The sequence below is a fragment of the Homo sapiens genome, chromosome 4 (genome assembly GCF_000001405.40).
Source record: "Homo sapiens chromosome 4, GRCh38.p14 Primary Assembly".
NCBI lineage: Eukaryota > Metazoa > Chordata > Mammalia > Primates > Hominidae > Homo > Homo sapiens.
Window position 1 is genome coordinate 11,462,048 of NC_000004.12, and position 9,644 is coordinate 11,471,691.

General features: G+C 39.8%; 1 annotated feature.

Moving 5' to 3' along the window:
* Positions 8,135 to 8,324: an enhancer, noted in NCBI's record as "active region_21322". NCBI's record gives its function as "activates an Ori minimal core promoter by ATAC-STARR-seq in GM12878 lymphoblastoid cells {active_cell/tissue: GM12878}" and the evidence as "EXISTENCE:reporter gene assay evidence [ECO:0000049][PMID:35858748]".

Here is a 9,644-nt window from a genome sequence, read left to right on the forward strand (position 1 = left end):
ACAGCAAAGGAAACAAAGTCAAGAGACAACCCACAGAATGGGAGAAAATATTTGGAAACTATCCATCTGACAATGGATTAATAACCAGAATACATAAGGGGCTCAAACAACTCTATAGGAAAAAAAACTAACAACCCGATTTAAAAATAGGCAAAATATTTGGATAGACATTTCTCAAAAGAAGACATACAAATGGCAAACAGACAAATGAAAAGGTGCTCAACACCATTGATCATGAGAGAAATGGAAATCAAAATTAGAATGAGATACCATCTCACCCCAGTTAGAATGGGTTTTATCCAAGTGACAGGCAAAAACAAATGGTAGAAGGGATGTGAAGAACAAAGAACCTTCATACACTGTGAATGTAAATTAGTACAACCACTATGGAGAACAGTTTGGAGATTCCTCAAAAAACTAAAAATAAAGCTACTATATGATACAGCATCCCCATGCTAGGTATATACCCAAAAGAAAGGAAATCAGTCTCTCAAAGAGATACCTTCACTCTTATGTTTATTGCAGCACCATTTACGATAGCCAAGATTGTCCATCAATAGATAAATGGGTAAAGAAAATATGATACTTATACACAACAGAGTACTATTCAGCCATAAAAAAAGAATGAGAATCTGTCATTTGCAGTGACATGGATAGAACTGGAGGTCATTATGTTAAGTGAAATAAGCCAGGCACAGAAAGACAATTTTCACGTGTTCTCACTTATTTGTGGGAGCTTAAAATTAAAATAATTGAACTCATGAAGATAGAGGGTAGAAGGATGGTTGCTAGAGGCTGGGAAGGGCAGTGAAGGGATATGGGGGAAGTTGGGATGGCTAATGGGTAAAATAATAGAAAAAATGAATAAGACTTATTATTTGAGAGCACAACAGGGAGACTATGACCAATAATAATTTAAATGTACATTTTAAAATAACTAAAAGAGTATAATTAGATTGTTCATAACACAAAGGATAAATTCTTGAGGTGATGGATACCCCATTTACCCTGATGTAATTATTCTGCATTGCCTGTCTGTACCAAAATATCTCATGTACCCCATAAATATATACTTCTACTATGTACCCACAACAATTAAAAATATAAAATTAATATAAATAAAAACTATAAATAAATAAAATACTAATCATTCTTGGGTTTATCTGAAATTCAAATACTTATCTTAAATGCTATAAAGCTAGTGACTTTTAACTGAAATACACTGTTTTTTTACCCCCTGAATCTTAGTTACCCATTTGTGAAATAAATATGACATCTACTCATGAGACCCTTGTCGAGTCCAATTATATTTATATAAAGGGAAGGCACTCCTCTTTCCATGGTGAGACCCGGGATGTCTGGGTGCTTTCAATCTCCCAAGCCACTCCTCCCAAAACCTCAGTTTTCAATATATTTTTGTGTATAATTATATTTACATTTATATGTATCCATCTACGAATGCTGGAGGTGAAGTCAATCCTGTCTCTCAGTCTCAGATGAGGCACATCCATCTGTGGATGGATGGTGGTGTGGCTGCCCTCCTCCGTTTCAACTGGGCATGTGATCAGGGTCTAGGTTTGCTATTGCTCAGGGCAGGGTTGCCAGATTAAGCAAACAAAAACTTAACAAGTCCAGTTAAATTTAAATTTCAAGTAAACAAAAATTTTCTGTTGCGTGTTTTATAAAATATTTTGGGCATATTCATAAAAAATTGTTGTTTATCTCAAATTCATATATAACTGGACTTCCTGTTTTTCCTTCTTTTTTTTTTTTTTTCTGGCAACCCTAATCATAAGCCTGGGGACTAGAATCAGCAGCTCTTACTAGAGCCAGAACCTTCCTAGGCAAGAAATTGACAAGTCAGCAATTAACAGGACAGTTGACAGAATTTGGGACAGGCATTGAGGGCCAGTCTCAAAGGTAAAGAAAAGAAGAAGACAGGCACAAAGAATGTAACTATACATCCCAAGCCCCATAGAGGACTTGGGAGGATTCTCTCCTCCCATTTGATTTTCCTCTTTCATTTAGGGAAACAAGCAAACTATTCTGTTTTTCTGTTTACCTCAAATTTGGGAACTTTCTAGATTGACATTAATGCAATATTTTTTTCTGTTGTAGGGCCACATGCATTCATAATACACTAAAATGTGAAAAAAGGGTATCTTTGTTTTCTCTATTTCTTATCTAGTATTTCTCAGAAGCCTCCACTTCATTGGGTGATGGAGAAAAATCTAAATTTAGTCCAGTCTGGCAAACAGTTCTATCTAATAATGCAAGTGATCTTTTGGGGATAATGCAGCTTTATAGACTTAAATGTTTTTCAGATGCTTTCTCTAATATTCCTATTTCTCAGGTAACCTGGTACCATCTTGAAGAGAACTCCAAAACCGTAGAGTTTATCACCTCAGAGTCCTGCCTGGAACAAAAATCACTGATGAACTTTGAGTTCTATTACAGACCCTGTGTAGTGAGGTGAGTATTAAAGCCAGGCCTTGATAAAAGGATAAATAACTTCTTGAGTTTCTGTAGATTCAGCAGGGATCAGAAGCCCAGCAGAGCTGACTTTCCGTATGACTGAGGTGGAGAGAATTCAAGCTATGACACAGTGAAGGCTGAAATGTGCTTCTTCTGGCCTCAACAACATTTAGAAAAGAGCTCAGTGACAGAAAAAGATATGGGAATTGAGATAATGGGGTCCTCGTTTCTCCTCAGCTTGGGATTTGGACTGGGAAACAAGGAAGTTTTAAAAAGATTCAGGAAGGTTTGGGGAACTCAGAACGTGGGGAAATGGATGACATCCTTCTCCAGGCCACCAGTCCCCAGGAGAAGCACTCCACAAGGACACCTTCAGCATGGGCAGAGGTGAGGTAGAACTATCTGTGGAGGGAGGGGGCTGGACAGTGGGCTTGAGGCAGTATGAGCAGCTCCACAGACCTGGGAGAGTGTTACAGGGATCCAGAAGTCCCCCATTGAAATGAGGGAAGGATGGAACATTTCTGTCGGGCTGGTGGTCCAGCAGAGTCTGACAGTCATGACGTAAAAGAGCCTGCAGTGTGGGGAACCGTGGTGTCTCTGCAGAAAAGCTACAACCTTGTACTCCAGACATGGGCATTCTCATGTTGACCCTGGAAAGGTCTTAAGCCCAGTGAGCACATCAGACTGATCATCGGTTGAAACCGTGCAGACTCAGATTGACAATGCATGGGTCTATATGCACCCCTTGCTTGCTTTCTTCAAACACCTCTTGCCTGAGTGTCTGTGCATTTGTTCTTCCTTCTCTCAAGGATACCCTTTCTTTTCCTCTTCACTCCTGTGCTTTCTTAGCCTTGAGATCATTATTCCAGTTGCCTCTTCCCAGAAGACCTCCAGGACCACCACCTGCATTATATTAAGGGATTTCCCTTCTTAATTTTTCTGCTTGTCTATTTCCCATCATCCACCACGTAAGTTCCATGATGTCAGGGCCCTTTCTGTTTGGTTAATTTCTGCATCTTATTATCGACTGCATGTTTGTGTACCCCTCAAATTAAATGCTGAATCCCTGAACATCAATGGAAAAGTATTTGTAAGTGGGGCCTTCGGAAGGTAATTAGATCACAAGGGTGGAGCTCTCATGATGAGATTAGTGACGTTATAAGAATAGACAGGAAAGAGCCTCTCTCTCTCTCTCTCTCTCTCTCTCTCTCTCTCGGATGCAATGAGGAGACTGCCATCTGTAAACCAGAGGGCTCTCACCAAACTCTACCATGCAGCCTTCTGATATTGATCTTCTAGACTACAGAAGGGTGAGAAATAAATTTCTGTTGTTTAAGCTACCCAGTTAATGGTATTGTTATTATAGCAGCCAAACTGACTAAGATATATCTTCAGTGCCTAGTACCTAATGGGAATTCAATCAATATTTGCTAAAAACTGAAAGTTATTCAATTATTCTCCTCCCATATCTACTATCATTATTATATTGTCCCATCATGGACTGGGCCCCTACTACATGTTGGCACCATACTCAACCATTTATTTAAATTATTTCTTATCGTAGAAATGCCCTGTTACATTGTGCAAGTAGACAAACTCGGGCTCTGGTGAGATAATGTTGCCTGAAGTTTTCAGATTAAATGTTAGTAAGTAGGAGAGCTAAGAATAGACTCAGATACTTCAAATTTTAAGGTTTTCTATTATGTTACCATGTCTTTCAAATAACAAAAATAATGTTTTCATTTTACAAAGTGCTTTGGTTTATTTTGGAAAATGTGAGGTGAATTGGAAAGAGCACTATTAACATTTTACTCTGGATAATTCCTTGCTATAGGGTGTTCTTCTGTGCACTGAAAGATGGTTAGCAGTATTCCTGGCCTCTATCCACTAGGTGCCAATAGTATAAATGGTCCCCTTCCCCAGTTGTGACAACCCCAAATCTCCAAACATTGCCAAACATCTCGTGGATGCACAATTAATCCCAATGGAGAACCAGTGGTTTAAACTGACACCATTTGTGTGATCTTGGTCAGTTTATTTGTATCCGTGAGCTCAGTCCCCTCCACCACAGAGAGGAATCACAATATTTGCCACCCGTACTACAAAGCTCATCAAGCCAGTATATCTGGTGAGATGAAAGGGAATCACCATATATTGAGAGCCTGTTGTATGTAAGGCATCACTCCAGCCTGCATGTTTTCTTGTTTAGTCCACCCCACATCCTTGTGAAGTCCTATTATCTCTTTTTTACATATGAAGAAAGTCAGGTTCAGAGAAGTAAAGTAACATGCTTAAAGTCACAGATTCAGCAGGCATGAGAGAGCAGTCACACTTCATAGCAAGTGCAATGGAAAAATGTGACTGGTCAACTCTAACCTACGATACATGTGGAAAATATGATAGGTTGCTACACGTGGTTAATTGGTCAATATTATCACCCTGCAACAAGACAAACAACAACAAAAATTTTATATATATATATATATACATATATTTATATACACATTTTGTTATTTGAAAGATATGATAACATAATAGAAAACCTTAACATTTGAAGTATCCGAGTATATATACATATATATATACACACATATACACACACATATATTTACACATATATGTGTATATATATGTATACACATATATATGCATATATACACACATATATACACATATATACACATATATACATATATATACACACACACACACATATATATATATATATCCTGAGTCAAAAAGGAAGTGGAAATGTTAGTAAATGCCTTGAGTTTGTAAACTTGTATAGACATTCTTTAATTTCCTTTATGACTATGAAAATAAATATTTTACCTTCACAGAAAGGAAACGATCCATAGACATCATTAAAAAACACTGATGAACCCCTTATACAATAGCATTTTATTCTCATGAAAGAACAAGGTTATGTCCAGCACTAGAGTCTATCACATTAGTGTAATTTCATGGAGCATCGATACTTCAAACTTTTGTTTTTAACTGCTTTTATGGTTTTCAGGAATTTTACTGTTGTCATTATTTTTTACATAAATGTACTTTGTGTTCTCTGTAAGGATTAAGCAGGAAAAAAGTATTGTTTTGGAGAGAGAGAGACTGAGGGGTGAAAGGGAAGAAGGAAGGAAGGGACAGACAGTATGAAGACCATTCCAGCTGGGCGCGCCGGCTCACACCATTAATCCCAACATTCTGGGAGGCCGAGGTGGGCAGATCACTTGAGGTCAAGAGTTCGAGGCCAGCCTGGCCAACATGGTGAAACCCCGTCTCTACTAAAAAAATACAAAAATTAGCTGGGTGTGGTAGTGTATGCCTGCAATCCCAGGTACTTGGGAGGCTGAGGCAGGATAATTGCTTAAACCCAGGAGGCAGAGGTTTCAGTGAGCCGGGATCCAGCCTGGGCAACAGAGCAAGACTCCATCTCCAAAAAAAAAAAAAAAAATTCCAAGAAGTCACAGGTGAGGAAGCCATAAGACAACATCCTTTTTCTCTGTGAGAGAAAAAAAAAAGTGACTTTTAAAGTGCACTGAGTCTGCTGAGTACTTGTGAATAATTTCAGAACTGAGACCCTATAGCACTCTTGGAGCTGCTGAGCCAGCTGCCATCCCCGCACCCCACCTCACCAACTCCCTGGCTTCCCCCACTTGTGCCAGCACTGCCAGGTGGCACTCAGAGAGCCTCCAGGGGTGTGTCTCCGGACCTGCCATTACCTACAGGAAGGGGCTTACATAGACCAGGGAAAGCCAACCCTGCCTTTTCAAAGGAACTTCATGCAGCCTGGGGACTTTTTTGACTTCTGTGAATTGTATCATCAGCTTTCCTGGTTCTCAGGGGATAACTATCTATCTTCTACAGAAAAATCTTTCTTTTCTATAGAGAGAACAATGCTTTCTCTCTCTCTCTCTCTCTCTCTCTCTCTCTCTCTCTATATATATATATATATATACGTATATATATATATGTATATATATATATACGTATATATATATATATATATATATACGTATATATATATGTATATATATATATATACGTATATATATATATATGTATATATGTATATATATCTTTATATAGAGAGAGGTAGATACTTATTATATATATAATCCCTCTTTACATGTTCCTCAGTTGGGCCCTGAGCACTACAGCTTGTCTCCTTTATCTGGAAGCTGATTGCATGCCTCCCCTCTCTCCCTGGCACAGCAGCTGGGAGCAACTTGCACATGACCAGGCTTTATCATTTTACATTGGAAATAATATGTTTCCATCCAGGATTTCAGTGAAGCTTCATGTTCAATCTTTTGGGAAGTCAGGACAGGGGGAAATGTTGTTAGTTTTTTCTTAACCAGAAGAACATAGAAGCCAGAAGAGACAGTACTAAGCTATTGTCCCCTAAACCAGTTTCTGGTGGAGAAAAGTGAGGCTCAGGGAGGTAAAAGTGTCTGCCTCAGTTGGTTCATCAGCGCCAGTGGCAGTGCTCTAAGGAGACGCCAGGCCTCCGGTAACCACTCAGTGTCAGAAGTTCAGGCAGCAACAGGTGCATGAGGAAGGAGTGGGGACATTCCAGAAATGCAGCTGTCAGGAATTTTTTAAATTGTTTTCCTTTCCTCTTGGGCCAATCATTGGGTATTTACATTCACTGTGGTCACCTGAGCCAGGTACCGCAATTGCATGTCCTGGAGTAGAAACTGATGTGATACCCAAGACTAACACTTAGTTCCTTCTTTGCCTTTAAGTACTAAGTGGATCTGTGATTTTAGGCAAGTGATTGTCCCTTTCTGGGCCTGTGGTTTTTTTGTTTGTTTTACTTTTTTGTTTTTTAATTATCATGACCAAAAGTCTTTTATTATTAACAACAATTGCACACTTTTTGTTGGGAAAAAAGGTATACAAATTATAAAACAGTTAACAATGTTTCCTTAAGGAGAGAAGTGTTAATGCTCTTCTCTAATTATGCTTTTAATGGTATTTTGTTCTATTTTTTTATTTTCAATAGCTTCTTTATTTCCCTTGGGATATTGAAGCTTTACTTAATCTTATTCTTTCTAAGTAGGGTAGAGAATTCCTGTTTCAAGTCTCCACAAAACAAAATCCCTTTTCTTGACATAGTAGAAAGGACAGGTGCTTGGATGTTTGGTTGGCAGGGGAAAGGAAAGAGTCCAGGTGCTACTGATAGAAATATTCAACCAAATCCTCCAGTTTTCGACTCCACCACTCACTGTGGTGCCTTCCTCAAGACCTTGGAGCTCCAAGTCTCTGAAGAATATTTCAGGCAATGAGAGGAGTCCCTGACTAAGGTAAAACCCTCCTCTCTGTCTCTTTCTGTGTGCGTGTATATGTATGTATATGTATATGTATATGTATATGTATATACATATACATATTCTATTGCTGCTTCCTCCTTAAACTCCACTAGAATAACAATGAAAGGTATTTAACATATTAATCCACCAATGTGAATAGTTGAGAGATGCCAACAATTTGAAAGATGGAAAAGAGGTCTGCAAATGCTCATTGTCGTAGCACAGCTGAGAAAGCTCACTGAGGCGCTGAGAGTGAGATGCGAAGGGACGGCCAGTGCAACACGGGCCTGTGTGTTTTTATGGACAGTATGAAGGTATTGAAACTGATCAGTAGTCTTCAAACATTTTCTTTCTTTCTTTTTTTTTTTTTCTTTTAGCAGGGAGATCTATTTCTCAAGTGAAAGGTAACTGAAACTGTCATGCATGAAACAAGCCCAAGCAAGCAGCTGCAGTTGCATGGTCAGCTGAGCCAAGGGCAGAGAGATGAGCCAGATGGGCTTCCCGCCCCTGGAGGGAGCCCCCATCCCCAGAGGGCAGACTCTGACACTCCTTCCCAGGTTCTTGGGGCATCACCAAAAAGAGTGGAAATCCCTACATGTTTTATCTCCAAGGGTCTCTAACCTTCTGTAACACTGCTCTGTGAATGCAATGAGACCATGTAAGAAAAGCACTGAGTAAAACCAAGAGCCTCATGTTTTGTTGCTATGCTGATTTTAATCTTTGAAGGTAAAGGGCCCTTGTATCTGACCTGCAAAGCACTTGGGCTGCTGGCTTTGCAAGGCATTGGCAAGAATAATACCTAAGGTACAGCTTCAAGAAGGTGGCTTTGTTTTCTCCTCTGAGAATAAGGGACTGAAAAAGTGATGAGTAACTCGGAAAAAAATAAAAGAGAACAAGAGAGAACAAAGTAGCTTTTCTTGATAAAGCATTTCCTCTAACCTGAAAGCTAGACACGGAAGCCAGGGAGTGCAGGAATTGCCCTGGCTGTGGCTAGTCACCATGCCGCCACCCCCAAATTCTTCTCACCACCAGATCAGCCAGGGAACGGCTTGCTGAAACCTGCTGGCTCTTTCTTGTGACCTGGAAGGATGACAGAGAGGCTGACATCCTGGAAGACCTCATTGCCCTGGGTTCCTTAGGAATCACAGAAGGGAACTCATTCACTCATTCATTCATTCAAGAATAGTATAGACTCTGCACAGTAGAGAAAACATGTATATCATTTTTCCAGATTCAACAGCTAGTGAATTTCCTGTATGCCAAGTCTTTAGAACTCAGGGATGAATGAAATTTCACAGGCTATTCTGTCTCTGAAAATCAAGTAAGGCAACACTCACATCCCCTCTGGGAAGCCAACCTTAGCCTCGTAGTCTGGATAAAATTTCACTATTATGTGCTACCTCAGCAGTTATGTACTGTAGCATCAGTCACATCCACTTCAGTGTAAGTTCTGGGAGGACAGGACATGTGTCTCTAGTAGCAGAAGAGATTGGCATGACAACAACCTCCAGTAGGTGTTCTACTAATTAAGTTTAGAAGAATTTAACTGTGGAGCCCGAGGCACGGGGATCACTTGAGGTCAGGAGTTCAAGACCAGCCTGGCCAACATGGTGAAACCCCATCTCTACCAAAAATACAAAAATTAGCCAGGCGGGTGGCACACACCTATAGTCCCAGCTATGTGGGAGGCTGAGGCAGGAGAATTGCTTGAATCCAGAAGGTGGAAGTTGCAGTGAGCCGAGATCGCGCCACTGCACTCCAGCCTGGGTGACAGAGTGAGACTCTATCTCAAAAAAAAAAAAAAAAAAAGAATTAACTATATTTAACTTTGCTTACCACACCACACTATGTACC